Source organism: Homo sapiens, chromosome 9 (genome assembly GCF_000001405.40).
Source record: "Homo sapiens chromosome 9, GRCh38.p14 Primary Assembly".
NCBI lineage: Eukaryota > Metazoa > Chordata > Mammalia > Primates > Hominidae > Homo > Homo sapiens.
The window spans coordinates 125166739-125188966 of NC_000009.12; the positions used below are offsets into that span (position 1 = coordinate 125166739).

Below are 22228 nucleotides of genomic sequence, written 5' to 3' on the forward strand. Positions count from 1 at the left end.
GGCCAGGCTGATCTTGAACTCCCGACCTCAGGTGATCTGGTGCTGGGATTACAGGTGTGAGCCACCGTGCCCAACCCACAACTACTTTTCCTTGAGTAAACTATCTTTCTTCAGCATGCAGTAGATATGCTTTATGCATACTTCCCATTTCATCACACAGACTTTTTTCTTTTTCTTTTTAGATGGGGTCTCACTCTGCTGCCCAGGCTGGAGTGCAGTGGCACAATAATAGCTGACTATAGCCTCAAACTCCTGGGCTCAAGCAATGCTTCCACCTTAGCCTCTTGAGGAGCTAGGACTTACAGACTCACACCACCAAGCCTGGCTAATTTTTTTCTTTTTAATATTTTTAGAGATGGGGGCCAGGTGCAGCGGCTCACACCTGTAGTCCCAGCACTCTGGGAGGCTGAGGCAGGTGGATCACAAGAGGCCAGGAGTTCGAGACCAGCCTGGCCAACAGGGCAAAATCCCATCCCTACTAAAAATACAAAAATCAGCCAGGCGTGGTGGTGCGTGCCTGTAGTCCCAGCTACTCGGGATGCTGAGGCACAAGAATCACTTGAACCCGGGAGGCAGAGGCTGCAATGAACTGAGATCACACCACTGCACTCCAGCTTGGGTGACAGAGCGAGACCCTGTCCAAAAAAAAAAAAAAAAAAAAGAAATAAAAAAAAGGCCGGGCATGGTGACTCACGCCTGTAATCCCAGCACTTTGGGAGGCCGAGACAGGAGACAGGAGGATCACATGAGGTCAGGGGTTCAAGACCAGCCTCAGCAACATGGAAAAACCCCATCTCAACTAAAAATACAAAAAGTTAGTCAGGCGTGGTGGCACATGCCTGTAATCTCAGCTACTCAGGAGGCTGAGGCAGGAGAATCGCTTGAACCTGGGAGGCAGAGGTTGCAGTGAGCCAGGATCGTGCCATTGCACTCCAGCCTGGATAACAAGAGAGAAACTCTGTCTCAAAAAAAAAAAATTTTTTTTTTTTAGAGATGGGGAGTCTCAGGCCGGACGCAGTGGCTCACGCCTGTAATCCCAGCACTCTGGGAGGCCAAGGCAGGTGGATCACCTGAGGTCAGGAGTTTGAGATGGGGGGGGGGGGGGGGGGTATCATTTGGTTGCCCAGGCTGGTCTTGAACCCATGGCTTCAAGCGATCCTCCCACCTCAGCCTCCCAAAGTGCTGGGATTATAGGCATGAGCCATCATGCCCAGCCAGACTTTTCAAATAATGGATATTCTAAAGGATTGAGAGTTAAGTGAAACTGGCATTTTATTTTACTGTGCAGGCATGTTGGTGAAGAACTCAATGATAATCAGTATATTCTAGTGTCATTCCCTTGGTTCATGCTAAGGCACGAGCAGTTTTACCCTCCATTGCCTCTGTACCACCTTAGAGACCCAAGGGTCCACAGGCCACACTTAACGAATTTGTGAGCTAGCTGAAATGGCTTCTTAAACAACTAATATATAGCCAAGCCAGGATTTAAACCAAGTTGTATCTGACACTGAAATCTATAACTCCTCACTATATTACACAGCTTCAATACTTCTCAGCACAACATGCTTGCTAACATGTTTATTCATACTCATAACCCAATCCTGCAATTCCAGAACAGGCCCCAGAGGAAGATAAGTCCCAAAGGATACATTTTACATTGTATTTAATCAGTCAATAGCTATTTAGAGGCTCAAATCCCATGTTTCTGATTAGCAATCTTCTGTTTTTCATTTTTTTGAGACGGAGTTTCGCTCTTGTTGCCCAGGCTGGAGTGCAATGGCGCGATCTCGGCTCACCACAACCTCCGTCTCCCAGGTTCAAGCAATTCTCCTGCCTCAGCCTCCTAAGGAGCTGGGATTACAGGCGCCTGTCACCACACCTGGCTAATTTTTGTATTTTTAGTAGAGACGGGGTTTCACCATATTTGCCAGGATGGTCTCGATCTCTTGCCCTCGTGATCCACCCACCTCAGCCTCCCAAAGTGCTGGGATTACAGGCATGAGCCACCACACCCGGCTTATTTTTTATTTTTTATTTTTTCGAGACAGAGTCTCACTCTATTGCCCAGGCTGGGGTGCAATGCATGATCTCGGTTCACTGCAACCTCTGCCTCCCGGGTTCTAGCGATTCTCCTGCCTCAGCCTCCCAAGTAGCTGGGATTACAGGCACGCACCACCACACCTGGCTAATTTTTGTATTTTTCGTAGAGACAGGGTTTCACCATGTTGGCTAGGCTGGTCTTGAACTCCTGACCTTCTGATCTGCCTGCCTCAGCCTCCCAAAGTGCTGGGATTACAGGCGTGAGCCACTGCACCTGGAACAATTGTTTTTTAAGGAACACATACAACATAAACAATTGTTCACGGTTTGGTGGTGGTCTTAAAATAACATGTACAAAAGAAACCCAAATTAGTTTCAAATCTCAATCTGCCCTGTAGTAGCTGTGTGTGAGTTTGGGCTATTTCTCTTCAATCTTTCAGTCTCCCTTTCATTGTCTACAAAATAATCCTATCTCACAGGACTTTGGGAAAAAACTGACACAGAATATGTGAAAAAGTACTTTGTTAACCTCAAAACACAAGATATATGTTAGCAAGAACTGCACATTTGACTGAAGGTATATATAATACAAAAGTTCAATTTTATGCTTCCAATTTTAGTAGTTCGAGGTTGGTCTCTAACTTTCTGACCTTTGATCATGGCTGTACTTCACATCTTAAAAAGTCTACAACTGGGGGAAACACTACACTGGGGGAAAACATGACTTGGTTTATTCCAGTTTTCAGGAATGTGTTAAGACACTGCTTATATTAATATCCTTTATGTTAGCAAAATACAAATGTTTACTTTGAGAGAGAAGTTACATAGAAACTTCTACACTACACTGGGGGAAAACATGACTTGGTTTATTCCAGTTTTCAGGAATGTCTTAAGACACTGCTTATATTAATATCCTTTATGTTAGCAAAATACAAATGTTTGAGAGAGAAGTTACATGGAAATTTTAGGAAATCAATTCCTAAAGTCTACTCTAAAGAACTGTAATTTTAACAATCAAAGATGACATAATGGGACCTCCATCTAGGAGGTGATGACATGCAAGTGTCAGATTTTTTTATAATCTAAAAAATCCAGAAAACACCTTGAAAAACCAAAAGAAAATCAGCCTGTAAGTAAGTAGCCAAAACAAGACTTTACTCATGGAGCAGCCCCTAATCAGAGTCAATTTACACACATTTCTGCTCATTTACACAGTCATATTTAAAGCAGGGAAATTGCACAGGTGACAGTAAGTCCTGTTGGCATCCTTTAAAGACTACATTGTTTGCAATGTATTATTAAGTCTTATGGCCCCAACTACACTGTATGCATATAGCACTCTATGAGTAATCTGTTCAGCTTTCATTTCCCAGTGAAAAAATTCTACAAATATACATGAGACTAAACACTGACAACAGAATCTAAATATGAGGTATGCCCCTCCTGTTACTGCTTTGAAATTCTTTTTTTTTTTTTTAGACAGAGTCTTGCTCTGTTGCCCAGGCTGGAGTGCAGTGGTGCGGTCTCGGCTCACTGCAACCTTCACCTCCCGGGTTCAAGAGATTCTCCTGCCTCAGCCTCCTGAGTAGCTGGGATTACAGGCACGCACCACCATGCCCAGCTAATTTTTTTGTATTTTCAGTAGAGACGGGGTTTCACCATGTTGGTCAGGCTGGTCTCAAACTCCTGACCTCACGATCCACCCGCCTCAGCCACCCAAAGTGCTGGGACTACAGGTGTGAGCCACCACGCCCGGCACTGCTTTGAAATTCTTACAAACACCCAGCAGATGAAAAATTGAGCTAAATATTTTCTAGCTCATTCATCAGTGATTTGCTGTGACATCATGGACCAACAATTTTATTTTTCTGTACCTTTGCTATTCTCATTCCCACTAAAGAAATGATAAATTTTCAACAATATATGACAGGAGAACAGAAATGAACTGAATGAAAAAAGTGCCTAACACCAAAACATCTCCTGTTAATCATAGTTATTATGAGCAGTATGTGTTTGTACTTTATATCTTCTACCTACCCCCAACCCCACCATTCCACAGAAAACTAATGCTGCATTATTCACTTCACAAATGTAATTATCAACAAATTCCATCACTAATTTGACCACTGCTTTTATTCACCAAAAATGTAAACCAGGAATCATTTGTGTCACAGAGACTGAGGCAACCTAGCTTACCACCAGTTGTGTTTGTTGATGTTGTTGTTGTTTTAATTTTGCAGCACATGTGAAAACACACATGGATCATGGACAGTACAAAACTTAAAAATCTGCTCATGAAATTTTACCTGTCCATGGATATCTCCACACACTGTTACTGGTGTTGATACTGGCTGAACATTTGACTCTTCTAAGAGGAGGTCACAAACGTAGTCACATAGCCGCTATAAAAAGAGAAAATAAAAGGTAAACATTTACTACAACATTAAAACTAAAGATAAAATACCAAAAAAGAAAAATACCAGGTCTAATACTTACAAAACCCAAGTATACTTTTTGATAGGAAAGTACCCTGTGATAATTCGGGGGTTGGATTTCTGTCAGCTGTCACACAGAATTCTTAATGCAATGCAAACTACCTACAGAGACACTAAGGTTCTAGGAGACAGACAGCTTTACAAGAACTGTAAAATGATGTTTTTCACCAAACACACACACACATATACACACACACACACACACATATATATATATATATATATATATATATATATATATATGAAGAAATAATTTTAACAGTAAAAGGTTTTTGGGTTTTTTTGTTTTTTTTTTTTTTAAACGGAGTCTCACTCTGTCTCCCAGGCTGAAATGCAGTGACACGATCTCGGCTCACTTCTACCTCCATCTCCCAGATTCAAGCAATTTTCCTGCCTCAGCCTCCCAAGTAGCTGGGGTTACAGGCATGTGCCACCACACCCGGCTAATTTTTGTATTTTTAGTAGACACAGGGTTTTACCATGTTGGCCAGGCTGGTCTTGAACTCCTGACCTCAGGTGATCCACCCACCTCAGCCTCCCAAAGTGCTGGGATTACAGGCGTCAGCCACCGTGCCCAGCCAGTAAAAGATTTTTATCTGGTAATTTAAAAAATAAATTGCAAACCACACACTTACCATTTGACCCAGCAACTGTAGTCTTGGCAATAAAAACATGTTCAAAATCTGTATATAAATACTCGCAGAAGCCTAATGCATCATAGCCCAAAACTAAAAACAAATCAGATATCCTTCAATGAGTGAATGGTTAAACACATTTTGGTACATCCACACCATGTAATACTACTCAGCAATAAAAAGAAACGAATACTGCCACACAACAACCTGGATTCATCTCAAGGCATTTATGTTGAGTGAAAAAAATGAAACAACAGAAAACTGTCCCAAAAGGTTATATACTGTATAATTCCATTTATATAACCTTCTTTTTTTCCCTTTTTTTTTGAGACAGAGTCTTGGTCTGTTGCCCAGGCTGGAGTCCAGTAGCACAATTTCAGTTCACTGCAAACTGCCTCCCAGTTCAAGTGATTCCCTTGCCTCAGTCTCACAAGTACCTGGGATTACAGGCACACACCATCATGCCCAGCTAATTTTTGTATTCTTAGTAGTTTCACCATGTTGGTCAGGCTGGTCTCAAACTCCCAACCTCAGGTGATCTGCCCGCTTCGGCCTCCCAAAGTGGTGGGATTACAGGCATTGAGCCACTGCACTCGGCCGTGTTTACACATTCTTGAAATGACAAAATTAAAGAAATGGAGAACGGATTAGTTGTTGTCAGGGGTCCAGCAGTTGCAGGAAGGAAGTGGGTGTGGCTATAAAAGGGCAACATGAGGAATTCTTGTGATGATGGACCTGTTCTGTATTTTGACTATAGAGTTGGATACATGAGCCCTTACCCAATAAAACTGCAAAGAACTGAATACACACAAACACACACACACACACACACACACACACACAAACACACACACACACACACAAACACAAGTAAAACTGAAGAAATCTGAACATCATGAGGTGATGATCTTGGGTTGTACCTAAAGATCATGAGTTGTATCAGTGTCAATGTTGGCTGATGTTGTATTGGTTGTGGCATTACACTATAGTTCTACAAAATGTTACCACTGGGGAAAACTGGGTTATTTTGAAATAAAAAGGCTAACTATAATTAATTATAAAATTCAAATCTAAAACTGAGGAGCCAGCTGGGCACGGCGGCTCTCGCCTGTAATCCCAGCATTTTGGGAGGCCAAAGTGGGTGGATCATTTGAGGTCAGGAGTTCAAGACCAGCCTGACCAACATGGCAAAACCCCCTATCTCTACTAAATATAAAAATTAGGCTGGGCATGGTGAATCACGCCTGTAATCCCAGAACTTTGGGAGGCTGAGGTGGGTGGATCACAAGGTCAGGAGTTCAGGACCAGCCTGGCCAACGTAGTGAAACCCCGTCTCTATTAAAAATACAAAAATTAGCTGGGCGTGGTGGCAGGTGCCTGTAATCCTCAGCTGAGGCTGAGGCAGGAGAATCACTTGAATCTGGGAGGCAAAGGTTGCAGTGAGCCGAGATTGCACCCATTGCACTCCAGCCTGGGCAGCAGAGAGACTCCCTCTCAAAAAAAAAAAAAAAAAAAAAAAAAGTAGCCAGGCGTGGGGTGCACAGCTGTAATCCCAGCTACTCGGGAGGATGAGGCAAGAGAATCGCTTGAACCCAGGAGACAGAGGTTGCCGAAAACCGAGGTCGCGCCACTGCACTCCAGCTTGGGAAACAGGGTGAGACTCTTTCTCAAAACAAACAAACAACAACAACAACAAAAAAGATGAGCCTTTTTTAATTTTATTTTTTTGAGACAGAATCTCGCTCTGTTGCCAGGCTGGAGTGCAGTGGCGCAATCTCAGCTCACTGCAATCTCTGCCTCCCAGGTTCAAGCCATTCTCCTGCCTCAGCCTCCCGAGTAGCTGGGATTACAGGCATGAGTCATCATACCCAGCTCATTTTTGGATTTTTAGTAGAGACAAGGTTTCACCATGTTGGCCAGGATGGTCTCGCTCTCCTGACCTCATGATCCACCCGCCTCGGCCTCCCAAAGTGCTGGGATTACAGGCGTGAGCCACCGCACCCAGCCAAGCCATTCTTTTTGTTAAAGGAACTCTAAATGTTTGCACTTCAAAAATATTTGTCCACTGAAAGTAATCAAACCAAAAAATGTCATAGAAAGCATATGATTCTCACACCAACGTTCTGGAAAAGGAAGTATACATCCCTGCTATATACAGGGAACTGGAGGTCTCAGGTGGAACCTTCCTTCCTACCTGAGACCAGTTTGTACTATTGCCAAAGGCTTATTGGATTTTACGATAGGTCTGCCAAGAAAGGAGAAATTAAACTAACAAGCATAATGAAATCACTTAAACATTAATTAAGGAATCTAAATGCTATAATCTCATTAATATATGAGAAACACTTTAACAGTTACAGCTACAACAATAGCTACACAGTAGCAAGAACAGAACTCAATGGGAGTGGGAGGGGGGAAAAAAGGGCTCCCAAAAGACAATGAGGGGAAATAGAGTTGTTAATTTCCTAAACATTATACAAAAAATCAGAAAACTTCAAAATAAAATGATTTGCCTTCATTCCTAGGGTAAGTTCCTGATCTTAAAATAGCACCTCAAAGGCAAGATCTTCTTTTTGGCCTGGAATCCTTCTGGCCTTGAGTCCCTGGGTAGCTAGCTCCTGTTTGTGTTGAATTTTCCACACCTATATGCTTCAACAAATCAATCCATGGTCCTGCCATATAGTACATCCATCACTCATTAAAAAAAATAACAAAAACAGGCCAGCCGTGGTGGCTCACACCTATAATTCCAGCACTTTAGGAGGCTCAGGCAGGTGGATCATTTGAGGTCAGGAGTTCGAGACCAGCCTAGCCAACATAGCAAAACCCTGTCTATACTAAAAAATACAAAAATAAGCTGGTCAGTAGAGGCACGTACCTGTAATCTCAGCTACTTGGGAGGTTGAGACAGGAGAATCGCTTGAGCCTTGGAGGCAGAGGTTGCAGTGTGCCGAGATCGCGCCACTGCACTCCAGTCTGGGCGACAGAGTGAGAACCTATCTAAAAAAAAGAAAAACAGGCCAGGTGTGTGGCTCACATCTGTAATCCCAGCACTTTGGGAGGCCGAGGCAGGTGGATCACCTGAGGTCAGGAGTTCAAGATCAGCCTGGCCAACATGGTGAAACCTCATCTCTACTAAAAATACAAATACTTAGCTGGGCGTGGTGGCAGGGCGCTGGTAATCCTGTACTTGGGAGGCTGAGGCAGGAGAATTGCTTGAACCCAGGAGCAGAGTTTGCAGTGAGCCAAGATCACGCCATTGCACTCCAGCCTGGGTGACAGAGTGAGACTCTGTTTCAAAAAAAAACAAAAACAAAAGCAAAAAATAGATGCTGGTGAGTGAAACAATGTTTCTGAACTTTGAGCCTTAAACTTTATACTGAAAGATGTTCTCGAAGGTTCCATCAGAATTATAAAATTCTGGTTTGCATTAGAAATTACCTACGCCGGCCGGGCGCGGTGGCTCACGCCTGTAATCCCAGCACTTTGGGAGGCCGAGGCGGGTGGATCACGAGGTCAGGAGATCGAGACCATCCTGGCTAACACAGTGAAACCCCGTCTCTACTAAAAAAAAATACAAAAAAATTAGCGGGGCATGGTGGCAGGCGCCTGTAGTCCCAGCTACTAGGGAGGCTGAGGCAGGAGAATGGCATGAACCCGGGAGGCGGAGCTTGCAGTGAGCAGAGATCGCACCACTGCACTCCAGCCTGGTCGACACAGCGAGACTCCGTCTCAAAAAAAAAAAAAAAAAAAGAAATTACCTACACCAAATTTCTCACTTGACTTAGATAATAAAAGATGTTACTTAATCTTAGCAACAGATCTAGAATCCAAGTTTCCTACCACTTTCCACTACATTATATTGAATATTTAGTTGTTCAATGCAACAAATATTTATGGAGTGCCTGGTATGTTACCAGGTATTGTTCTAGATACAAAGTAAATAGCAACAACCAAAACAGACTAAAAGCTCTGCTCTCAAGGGGCTTACATTCTAATAGAATGAGACAGACAATAAATAAGTAAAATATATAACAGTAATTTGTCACATAGTAATATCAAGGAAGTATAGAGCAAACAGACACACTAGAAGAGGGATGGGGTGCTGGGGTGGAGAGTAGGTGCTGTTATTTTAAACAGGGAGAGTATGGAAGCCTTACTGATAAAGTGAATTTTGAGCAAAACTCTAAAGGAGGTAAGGCTATGGGGACACAATACTACAGGCAGAGAAATAAAGACCAAAAGTCCTGATGTGAAGCATGCTTGTGTCTAAGAAACATCATCAAGGCTGGTGTGTTTAGAGTAAACTGAATGAGAAGAAAAACAGGAGAGCATCACAGAATTATTTAGGTCACTGGTGGTGAAAATAAGGACCTGGGCTTCTACTGAGTGTAACGGGAAGCCATTAGAAGTTCTAGAGCAGAAGACTGACATGATATTAAGTCAGCTGTTTTGAAAACAAACTGGCCAGGCGTGGTGGCTCACACCTATCATCCCAGCACTTTGGGAGGCCGAGGTGAGCGTATCACTTGAGCTCAGGAGTTCGAGACCTGCCTGGGCAACAATGGCAAAACCCAGTCTCTACAAAAAATACAAAAACTAGCTGGGCGTGGTGGCATGTGCCTGAAGTCCCAGATACTTGGAAGGCTGAGGTGCAAGGATCGCTTGAGCCCGGGAGGTCAAAGCTGCAGTGAGGTGAGACTGTGCCACTGCACTCCAGCCTGGGTCACAGAGCGAGACCCTTTCTCAAAATAACAAGAAAAGAGAAAATGGATTGATGGTGGTGGAGGGGTGGCTGGGCTGGGGTTGGAATTGGGACAAAGGAGTAAGCAGGGAGATCAGTTAAGTGTCTTCTATAATAATCTAGGTAAAAGTTAACTGGCTTGGACAGGGTAGTAGAAGTAGAAAATAGGGAAAATAGATTCCAGATGTTATCTGAATGTAGCATCTGCTAGATTTATGACCAGCTGGATACAGGGTGTTAAGAGAAAGTAAAGAATCAAGGATGACGCGGGATTTCTGGCTTAAACAATTAGAAGGCTGGAAATAATCATTACTGAGACAGTTACAACTCCAGGGAAAGTAGATTTTTTTATTGTGTTTTTTTACCCCTGTAAATAGACTATTTTTTAGAGCAGTTTTAGCTTCACAGCAAAATTGAGCAGAAAAGTACAGAGAATTCCCGGCCGGGCGCGGTGGCTCACGCCTGTAATCCCAGCACTTTGGGGGGTCGAGGCAGGCGGATCACGAGGTCAGGAGAGTGAGACCATCCTGGCTAACACAATGAAACCCCATCTCTACTAAAAATACAAAAAATTAGCCGGGCGTGGTGGCGGGCGCCTGTAGTCTCAGCTACTTGAAAGGCTGAGGCAGGAGAATGGCGTGAACCCGGGAGGCCGAACTTGCAGTGAGCAGAGATGGCGCCACTGCACTCCAGCCTGGGGTGACAGCAAGACTCTGTCTCAAAACAAACAAACAAAAAAAATCTTAAAGTACAGAGTTCCCCTGCTGGGCACAGTGGCTCGCGCCTGTAATCCCACCACTTAGGGAGGCAAAGACAGGAGGATCCCTTGAGCCCAGGAGTTCAAGACCGCCCTCAGCAATATAGAGAGACTTCGTTCTCCATATAAAGGGAAAAAAAGAAAAAGAAAAAAAGAAAAAAGTGCAGAGTTCCCATATACCCCCTGCCCCTCCCCACAGCCTCCCCGCATCAACATCTCACACTTGAGTGGTACGTTTGTTACAGATGATGAGCATACACTGACATATCATTATCATCCAAAGGCCATAGTTTGTTTAAATTAGGGTCACTCCTACTGCACATTCTATAAGTTTTGACAATTGTATAATGACATGTACCTACCATTATAGTATCATACAGAATAGTTTCACCTATTCAAATTCACCTCCCTCCAACCTCTGAAAACCACTGATCTTTTTACTGTCTCTATAGTTTTGCCTTTCCCAAAATGTCATATAGTTGGAATCATATATATGTAGCCTTTTCAGGTTGGTTTCTTTCATTTAGTAATATGTATTTAAGGTTCTTCCATGTCTTTTTATGGCTTGATAGCTCATTTCTTCTTAGCACTGCATAATATTTCATTGTCTGGGTGTATTACAGTTTGTTTATCCATCCACCTAGTGAAGGACATCTTGGTTCCTTCCAAGTTTTGGCAATTATGAATAAAGTGGCTATAAAAATCTATGTACAGGTTTTTGTATGGACATAAGTTTACAACTCATTTGGGTAAATATCAAGGAGCAGGACTGCTGGATTATATGAAGAGTTTGTTTAGTTTTATAAGAAACTGCCAAACCGTCTTCCAAAGTGGCTGTACCATTTTGCATTCCCACCAGCAATGAATGAGAGTTCCTGTTGCTCCACATCTTCATCAGCATTTGGTACTGTTGGTGTTCTGGATTTTGGCCATTCTAATAGGTATATAGTGGTTATCTCATGGTTGTTTCACTTTGCATTTCCCTAATGACACGGAAGGTAGAGCATCTTTTCATACGCTTATTTGTCATCACTGTATCTTCTTTGATGAGGTGTCTTTTGTCCATTTTTTTGGCATATCTGTATTTACTTTATTATATCTTACTAATATTCTTTAAGGGACAAACCAGGCAAGTAGGCTACAGTGAGGAAATCTTAGTTAAGAAACCACTATGATACTTCCAGGTATTATCTTCAGTGATGTTTATCTTTATTCTGGGACTCCAAGTAATATTCAGCTCCTACAGCTACCACAAATGCAGCAAATCCCCATTTGAATCTTTGTAATAATGCACCAACAAAGGAAACATTTCTGCAAAGCCACCCACGTATCACCAAGCTTCACTGAGGCCCAATAAATCCCTTAGCCCTCCTGCAGCCAGCTTCTTCTAGACAGTTTCTACTGGTGGTGAAAGTGTAATTTAGCACAACCATTCTGAAAAACTGGCATGATCTGACAGCAACTTTTGTCCATTTTTTAATCAGATTGTTCATTTTCTTATTGAGTTTTAAGAGTTATCTGCAGGCCAGGCATGGTGGCTCACGTCTGTAATCCCAGCACTTTGGGAGGCCGAGGAGGTCAGATCACCTGAGGTCAGGAGTTCGAGACCAGCATGACCAACGCAGAGAAACCCCATCTCTACTAAAAAATACAAAATTAGCCGGGTGTGGTGGCGCATGCCTATAATCCCAGCTACTCGAAAGGCAGAGGCAGGAGAATTGCTTGAATGCGGGAGGCAGAGGTTGCGGTGAGCTGAGATCGCGCCACTGCACTCCAGCCTAAGCAACAAGAGCGAAACTCCATCTCAAAAAAAAAAGAATTATCTGCATATTTTGGATAACAATACTTTATCAGACACGTCTTTCACAAATATTTTCTCCCAGTACATGGATCATCATCTCATTCTCTTGATAGGGTCTTTCACAAAGCAAAAGCTTTTAATTTTAATGAAGTCTGGCTTATCAACTATTTCTTTCAAGAGCAGATTGTTTTGATTTGTTTAGGTTTGGTTTGGAGGGTGGGGAACTATGAATATAATTTTTTATTTTTATTTATTAGACAGAGTTTTGTTCTAACTCCTCTCCATGGAGGCTGCCCCACACACCAGCCTCACCAGGTCTGGGTGGCTACCTAGGCATGCTCCCTCCTCTGAGGCTTTGTACTTTCTGTTCACTCAGTCAAGAATGCTTTTCCCTAGACATGGGCTTGGCTATCTCTCTTCATCCAGCTTTCCTTTTCTCTCTCTCTTTTTTTTTTTTTTTTTGGAAACAAAGTCTTGCTTTGTCGTTCAGGCTGGAGTGCAATGGCGTGATATTGGCTCACTGCAACCTCCACCTCCCAGATTCAAGCGATTCTCCTGCCTCAGCCTCCCAAGTATCTGGGATTACAGGCACCTGCCACCACACCCAGCTAATTTTTATATTTTTAGTAGAGATGGGGTTTCACCACGTTGGCCAGGCTGGTCTCGAGCTCCTGACCTCAGGTGATCCACCCGCCTCAGCCTCCCAAAGTGCTAGGATTACAAGTGTGAGCATCACACCCAGCCCGAATATAATTTTTTAAAACAACTATTGCAACATAATTCACCTACATAAAATGCATCCCTTTGAAGGGTAAGAGTCAATGGTTTTCATTATATTCACAGTGGTGGCAACCATCACCATAATCAATTTTAGGACACTTTCATCACCCCAAAAAGAAACCATATACACATTAGCAGTCACTCCCCTCATCCCCATACCAACACCCCACAGCCCTATGTATTACCTCATAAATAATAATAATCACAACCTTGACCACAACCACTCAATCCAGTTAGTCCTTGTGGATAGACGGCTGTCTTTCCAGTCAATTTCAAAATATCAGTGTTGCACAGCATCCTACTTCTATTAATAATCCATTAGACCTATGATACATATTTATTTTTATAATAATTAGCATCCAAAGTTTGCAACCTATTTGCATTAAAGAACAAATATGCCAGGAACTGATGAATGATTCTAAGTTTGGCCTGTAATTTTTTCTTTTTTTGAGATGGAGTTTCGCTCTTGTCACCCAGGCTGCAGTGCAATGGCGTGATCTTGGCTCACTACACCCTCCGCCTCCCAGGTTCAAGCGATTCTCCTGCCTCAGCCCCCCAGTAGCTGGGATTACGGCACACGCCACCATGCCTGGTTAATTTTTGTATTTTTAGTAGAGACAGGGTTTCGCCATGTTGGCCAGGCTGGTCTCAAACTCCTGACCTCAGGTGATACACCCACCTTAGCCTCCCAAAGTGCTGGGGTTACAGGCGTGAGCCACTGTGTCTGGCCGGTTCCCATATTTCAATGTGCCAGAATTTTCGCTGACATGTAACTGGTTCTCCTAGTCCATAAGGCCTCCTAAACTTGAAGTCATCCCTGGTTATCACCCCATACACTATGTGCTAGCCTGAAAATAACAGTGGACTATAAACTGAAGAACATCGCTGTGAAACTCTGTCAATCTGAAAGATTGAGTGTCTGGAGAACACGTGTAAACTACCTAGCAGCAGCCTTCAACCAGGGCCCAGGCACACTAACTAGAGTAAAATTACAGCTGCGTCCTACGACTGCCACCTCTGCTGACCCCAACTGAGGATTTAGAGAGCTATGTCTCTAAGCCAAAGCTATTGCCTCTCATCTCTAGTTTGGCAGTAGCTTACAAATCGCTATCACGCGCACACAAAAATAAGAAGTCTATGCAATCTCACTATAAACGCTACGTGACTCAATCAACTACACTCACAGCGGCCTCAAAGAGCCCTGCCTTGTCATCATAGTAAAGACACATGCTCCTCTCCTCCCAAACCCTTTACAGCTTTATCCCAAATTTAGGGTAAACTATACCCCTTTCTCCTCATCGTGCCCAAATATTTTTTCTTTCTTTTTTTGTGTTCTGTTTTCTATTTATTTATTTTTTATTATACTTAAGTTCTGGGACACATGTGCAGAACGTGCAGGTTTGTTACTTAGGTATCCACGTGCCATGGTGGTTTCCTGCACCCATCAACCCATCATCTACAATCGGTATTTCTCCTAATGATATCCCTCCCTTTACCCCGGACCCCCTGACAGGCCCCAGCATGTGATGTTCCCCTCCCCTCTGCCCATATGTTCTCATTGTTCAACTCCCGCTTACGAGTGAGAACATGCGGTGTTTCGTTTTCTGTTCCTGTGTTAGTTTGCTGAGAATGATGGTTTCCAGCTTCATCCATGTCCCTGCAAAGTATTCCATGGTGTATATGTGCCACATTTTCTTTAACCAGTCTATCATCGATGGGCATTTGAGCTAGTTCCAAGTCTTTGCTATTGTGAATAGTGCTGCAGTAAACATGCAAGTGCATGCATCTTTATAGTAGAATGATTTATAATCCTTTGGGTATATACCCAGTAATGGGATTGCTGGGCCAAATGGCATTTCTAGTTCTAGATCCTTGAGGAATCGCTACACTGTCTTCCACAACAGTTGAACTAATTTGCACTCCCACCAACAGTGTAAAAGTGTTCCTATTTCTCCAAATCGTCTCCAGCACCTGTTGTTTCCTAACTTTTTAATGATTGCCATTCTAACTGGCGTGAGATGGTATCTCATTGCGGTTTTGATTTGCATTTCTTTAATGACCAGTGCTCTTTTTCATATGTTTGGTGCCCAACTACTTTCTAATCCTTGAACAGGAAGGGGTTCATAGCCATCATTCTTAGCAGACCTCTATGTCTCTTCTCTACCTTTTCCTCAAGACATTTGTTCACAGTTCCATTCTATTCTCTGTTCTGTCTCCCAGTTCCCTCTTGCCCTCACAAACACTGGGTTCTAAACTTTTAAAATTACTTGTTTAGTTGATCTTGTTATCTAAAACATACTACTTCCTTTATCTACTTTTACATACTGGTATTTATAAAACACTCTTAGCTTTAAAAAAAAAGATCTCACTGCCAGGTGTGGTGGCTCACACCTGTAAAATGAGCATTTTGGGAGGCCAAGGCAAGAAGATGGCTGGAGGCCCAGAGCTCAAGACTAGCTTGGGCAACATAGCAAAACCTCATCTCAACTAGCTAGCTAAGTAACTAACTAAATAAATATCTAGCTAACATTATATTTCACACAGTCTTTATATAAAGTCTCTACTATAATACAGATCACTGGGAATGAGAAGTTAGAAATCTGGAATGACCATGATATTCACACGCTTATGATCCAGAAGGTAGTATCTGTATCCTCAGGCCAGATCAGAGTTTCTCAACCATGGCACTACTAATTATTCATTGCAGGGGACTGCTTGCTGTCTTGTGGATGTTTAGCAAAATCTCCGACATCTACGCCTACTAGATACCCATAGTAACTTCCCACCCCTCCCCTGACCCAGCTGTGACAACCAAAAATGTCTCCAGACACTGCCAAAAATTCTTTGGGGGGCAAAATTGCCCCCAGTTGAGAACGACTGGTCTAGATCTTTCTCCTGCGTTTAATACTATTAGAACAGTGTTTAGAGCACATTTGGCAATCAACAAGTAGTTGTTATCTAAGTAACATAAGTATCCAAGAGTAATTCTGGACACCTCTATCTCAATGTCTTAGCTTGGCAGCATCTCAAACTCAATATGGCCCAAACCAAACTTCCCGTATTCCTTAATCTAGTTATAGTACTAAGTAATCCTTGCCAGAAACTAAAAAATTATGCTAAACTCTCTTCATCATAACCTAGACCAAATCTGTTAACAGGTGCCACTATACCTTCTTCATTTCCTTTCCAACACAACAATCACTTATCATTGCCTTATCTCAGACTCTCATATCACCGGGCCTACTGCTTCTATGACATTTTTCCTGCATTCCAATCCATGGTCCACAATGCTGCCAGAATAAACATTTCAAAAGCCTACTGTCATTCTCCTTCTTAAAAACTCCTCAAGCGTATTCCTCCATTTATGGCAGTGTTTCCCAAACACCAAATACCATTTTCATTATTTTGTCATATTCCTACCACATACAACAGTGTATCCCTGTAATAATTTTCTTTGAATCTACTTTTATTTTTAGTTAGCTACATTTTAAACAGTATCACGAATCACAGTATGATTTTTCCCTAAAATATAAAAACATTTCATAGTGTTCATGCACCACCTAAAAAATAACAATCTAAGTTTAACAGCCTACTCTTCTATGATTTGGCATCTTTCTTTCCAGTACCACCTCCAGCCATACCAAACCACTTCAAGTTCCCCGAACCAGCCATGTTCTTGCAAATTACATTATACTATTGCACATGGTGTTTATTCTGTTTGCATGTTCTTTCCTTCTCATTTTGTCTACCTGAACTCTGCCCCTCGTAACTGCTCCTTTATGAAATCATCTCTGACTCTAAAGTTACATACTGCTTCTTCTGTTTGCCAACACCCTGGTCAGCCTCTATTACAGTCTTTGTTTACCTCCTTACCTCCCTTACTATATTGAAAGCCCCTCAAAGGCAGACACAAGTATCCAATTCTGCCCCTGGCACCCACAGGGAACAGTACTCAACACAAGGAACCATGTAAATAAGTGTTTGTTGGCTGGGCACAGTGGCTCACACCTATAATCTCAGCATTTTGGGAGGCCAAGGCAGGAGAATCACCTGAAGCATTTGGGACCAGCCTGGACAGCATAGCAAGACGCTATCCCTTAAAAAAATTTTTTTTTTGCCAGGCGCGGTGGCTAACGCCTATAATCCCTGCACTTTGGGAGGCCAAGGCGGGTGGATCACGAGGTCAGGAGATTGAGACCATCCTGGCAAACACAGTGAAACCCCATCTTTACCAAAAATACCAAAAAACTAGCCAGGCATGGTGGCATGCATCTGTAGTCCCAGCTACTTGGGAGGCTGAGGCAGGAGAATTGTTTGAACCCAGGAGGCAGAGGTTGCAGTGAGCCGAGATCGCGCCATTACACTCCAGCCTGGTGACAGAGTGAGACTCCATCTCAAAAATAAAAATAATAATTAATCAGCTGGGCACACTATTGCACACCTGTACTCCCAGCTACTTTTGAGGCTGAGGCAGAAGGATCAATTGAGCCCAGGAGTTTGAGGTTGCAGCAAGCTACAACTGCACCACTGCACTCCACCCTGGGCAGCAGACTGAGACCCTACCTCAAAGAAAAAAAAAAAAAGAAGAAGAAGAAACAAGTATTTGTCATAAAGCAGTAAACAGTTTGAGTCAATAAACCTTTACTGATTATCACATACAGGGCAGTGTTCTAAAATTGTGGAAAACACAAATAAGGAATGGCCAAACACAGTGGCTCACATCTGTAATCCCAACACTTTGGGAGGCCGAGGTGGGCGGATCACCTGAGGCCAGAAGTTCGAGACCAGCCTGGCCAACATGGTGAAACCCCATCTCTACCAAAAAATATATATATACAAAAATTAGCTGGGTGTGGTAGTGCGCACCTGTAATCCCAGCTGAGGCAGAACTGCTTGAACCCAGGAGGTGGAGACTGCAGTGAGCTGAGATGGTACCACTGTACTCCAGCCTGGGCAATAGAGTTAGATTCAGTCTCAAAAAAAAAAAAAAAAAAAAAACCTCAGGTAAACATGTCACCCTTAAGAACTGTCCAAGAGATTAGACAACCTCCAAGTTATAGAACCCCTGCTCCCCAAAAATATTAATACTTAAATATAAGTATTCAGTAAACCTGCCTTTATCATTAATTCTTCCATTTAGCCAGGTATGGAATCTGTATCTTTTATTAATCTCTCTGAAATCTTTCTTGTGGATAAAATCACATGAGCTCTTTATAAGAAAGGTTACACTGTGGTCCATTTACTTTCACATATGTCATTTTTTTTTTTTTTTGAGACAGGGTCTCGCTCTGTTGGCCAGGCTGGAGTGCAGTGGCATGATCTCGGCTCACTGCAACCTCCATCTCCCAGGCTCAAGCAATTCTCCTGCCTCAGCCTCCCGGCCCACATATGTCATTCTTATTCCTTCAAAACTGTTATGTATGCCAGGCATGGTGGCTCACGCCTGTAATCCCAGCACTTTGGGAGGCTGAGAAGGGTGGATCACCTGAGGTCAGGAGTTTGAGACCAGCCTGGCCAACATGGTGAAACCCCATCTCTACTAAAAATACAAAAATTAGCCAGGAGTGGTGGTGGGTGCCTGTAATCCCAGCTACTCAGGAGGCTGAGGCAGGAGAATCGCTTGAATCCGGGAGGCGGAGGTTGCAGTGAGCTGAGAACGTGCACCTGCACTCTAGCCTGGGCAACAGAGCAAGACTCCGTCTCAAAAAAACAAACTAACAGGCCAGGCTCACACCTATAATCCCAGCACTTTGGGAGGCCGAGGTGGGTGCATCATCTGAGGTGAGGAGTTCGAGACCAGCCTGAACAACATGGGGAAACCTGGTCTCTACTAAAAATACAAAATTAACTGGGCGTGGTGGCACATGCCTGTAATCACAGCTACTCAGGAAGGCTGAGGCAGGAGAATCGCTTGAACCCGGGAGGCAGAGGTTGCAGTGAGCCAAGCTCACGCCATTGCACTCCACCCTGAGCAACAAGAGCGAACAAACAAACAAAAACAGTTATGTAGATTTGATCCAGTACTAGTGATGTGACCATTTCCAACTTAGCGAAACAGAAATTGTGATTAAATCTGGAACATCGTATGCATTTAGTATTTTATCTTCTAATCAATTTAAAACACAAGTAAATTTCTGTCTTCTTTTCTACAGAACAAATCTTTTCCATCTTGCTCATTAAGTGGCCTCAATGATTACTTTTCTTAATAGAATGTTTTATTTTGCCTTTACAGCCTCAGAAAAAGTACTCCTGGCATACTTTCTTGGCCTAATTTTAGGTTGCACTTCATGCCAAGAAACAGAAAAAAATTAAATTTCTTTAAATACACCAGAGATGAGCAACACAACAAATTAATCTGATAAAAGCATTTCCAAGACAGAAAAAAAAGTCTCTACCTATAAAGAAAAATTCAGAATACTTTTGTCTTGGTTGCCCAAAACATATATTTTTAAGTTTATTAAGAAATGGATACAGGCCAAGTATAGTGGCTCATGCCTGTTATCCCAGCATTTTGGGAAGCCAAGGTGGGAGGATCGCTTGAGCCCAGGAGTTCAAGACTGGCCTGGGTAACATAGCAAGACCCTGTCTCTACCAAAAAAATAAATAAAAATTAGCTGGTCATGGGGGCATGTGCCTGTGGTCCCAGCTTCTCAGGAGGCTAAGGTGGGAGGACTGCCTGAGCCCAGGAGGTCGAGGCTGCAATGAGCCATGATTGTGCCACCACACTACAGCATGGGTGAGAGTGAGACCATGTCCCCGCTCCCCCACCAAAAAAAAGATTAAAAATTTTTTTAAGAAAAAAAAAGAAACAAATACAAGTCAAGTACAATGCAGCTATGTTTCAACAAGAAATAAAATGGTCTAAAAATTGTACTTCCTTAAGGTAAGAAGGAAATCTAATGTTTATCAAACTAAGAGGTACAAAGAAGTCCAACAGATTTTTCTTTCTTTTTTTTTTTTTTTTTTTTTTTGGTGAGACGGAGTCTCCCTCTGTCACCCAGGCTGGACTGCAGTGGCGCAATCTTGGCTCACTGCAACCTCCGCCTCCCTGGTTCAAGCGATTCTCCTGCCTCAGCCTCCCAAGTAGCTGGGATTCCAAGCACCTGCCACCACCTCCAGTTTATTTTTGTATTTTTAGTACAGACGGGGTTTCACCATGTTGGCCAGGCTGGTCTCGAGCTCCTGACCTCAAGTGATCCACCTGCCTCAGCCACCCAAAGTGCTGGGATTACAGGCGTGAGCCACTGCACCTGGCCAGATTATCTTTCAAATCATTTCAGTGCCCAATTTCCTTTTCTTTTTTTTTGAGACAGAGTCTTGCTCTGTCTCCCAGGCTGGAGTACAGTGGTGTGATCCCGGCTCACTGCAAGCAATTCTCCCGGGTTCAAGCCATTCTCCCTGCCTCAGCCTCCCAAGTAAGTAAACTGGGATTACAGGCACCTACCACCATGCTCGGCTAATTTCTGTGTTTTTAGTAGAGAGGGGGTTTCACCAAGTCGGTCAGTCTGGTCTCAAACTCCTGATCTCAAATGATCTGCCCACCTCAGCCTCCCCAAGTACTGAGATTACGCCACTGTGCCCTAGACACATTTTCATAAAAAGCAACATTTTATTCATCATAAACACAAAGTTCAAAAAAGCTTTATGCATGATAAATAAGAAGAAAAAATTCCATGTCAATTCACTGACATGCAATAGTCAACCTCACCTATGGGATTAATAATGCTACTAAGAGGTCTGGTTAGTTTTCCATGAATTGGGTCCCAATGCTAGTTGTATTCTTATTCCCTTAAAAAAACCACATAGCAGAAAGAAGCCACAAAAGGAATGTCTGAAGGACTCAGATGAGCACAAATGCTACATTACTACTAACGAAGGCTGTCCTTATTTGAAATTATTCTATTAAAAACGGGAAAATGCACAAGAATGACTCCCCTATCATATGCCACATAAAATTAACAGGTAAGTACAATTCAGTCACATTCACAACAGCACGTGTGGCCTCAAATATTATGCATACTTGTTGACTGATGTTAAGTATCAACTTACTGTACAAAGAAGAAATAAAACAAAACCCACAGTAATATATTTCCTTAAGAATACACTGAGTCGGGGCTGGGCACGGTGGCTTACGCCTGTAATCCCAGCACTTTGGGAGGCCGAGGCGGGCGGATCACGAGTTCAGGAGATCGAGACCATCCTGGCTAACACGGTGAAACCCCGTCTCTACTAAAAATACAAAAAATTAGCCAGGCGTGGTGGCGGGCACCTGTAGTCCCAGCTACTCGGGAGACTGAGGCAGGAGAATGGCGTGAACCCGGGAGGCGGAGGTTGCAGTGAGCCGAGATGGTGCCACCGCACTCCGGCCTGGGCGACAGAGCGAGACTCCGTCTCAAAAAAAAAGAATACACTGAGTCGGTTAAATACTAGCACGAGCTGATAAGCACTGCTAGAAACCTAAGCTCTGATTTCAGCAAATGCATAGAAACACTTTTCAAAGAAGCAGTATACCTAGGCCGGCGCGGTGGCTCACGCCTGTAATACCAGCACTTTGGTAGGCCGAAGCGGGCGGATCACTTGAGGTCAGGAGTTCAAGACCAGCCTGGCCAACATGGCGAAACCCCGTCTCTACTAAAAATACAAAACAGCCGGGCGTCGTGACGGGCGCCTGTAATTCCACCTAGTCGGGAGGCTGAGGCAGGAGAATCGCTTGAACCCGGGAAGTGGAGGTTGCAGTGAGCCAAGATCGCACCGCTGCACTCCAGCCTGGGTGACAGAGTGAGACTCTATCTCAGTTAAAAACAATAATAATAATAATAATAATAATAATTAAAAAGTTTTAAAAAAGAAAAGCAGTATACCAAAGTCATTCCTTTACCCATACATACATTTACTCTTACTTGGACTCAGGAGTAACAAGGAACTCACCTCCTTTAGAAAACGAAGAAAATGAAATACTGAGTTAAGAAGGGGTTA

The 22228-nt window shown here is 43.1% G+C and overlaps 1 protein-coding gene and 1 pseudogene across 7 annotated transcripts in view; both read right to left on the reverse strand.

Annotated features, from left to right (window-relative positions):
• Window positions 1–22228, reverse strand: part of PPP6C (protein phosphatase 6 catalytic subunit) — a 43231-nt gene that overhangs the window by 20166 nt on the left and 837 nt on the right. For 2 of the 7 annotated variants that reach the window (XM_047423568.1, XM_011518847.4), the window contains exons 1-3: window positions 8049–8456; window positions 5171–5263; window positions 4347–4442 (exon numbers count right to left, since the gene is read on the reverse strand). In XM_047423568.1, coding sequence (XP_047279524.1) covers window positions 4347–4442; window positions 5171–5209 — 135 coding nt within the window. In that variant the 5' untranslated portion in view covers window positions 5210–5263; window positions 8049–8456. Of the gene's footprint in view, window positions 1–4346; window positions 4443–5170; window positions 5279–8048; window positions 8457–22180; window positions 22210–22228 lie in introns of those variants that run through there. The other 5 variants (XM_047423566.1, NM_001123355.2, NM_001123369.2 and 2 more) reach the window with 3 other exon arrangements.
• NDUFB3P2 (NADH:ubiquinone oxidoreductase subunit B3 pseudogene 2) lies at window positions 11742–12078 on the reverse strand (annotated as a pseudogene).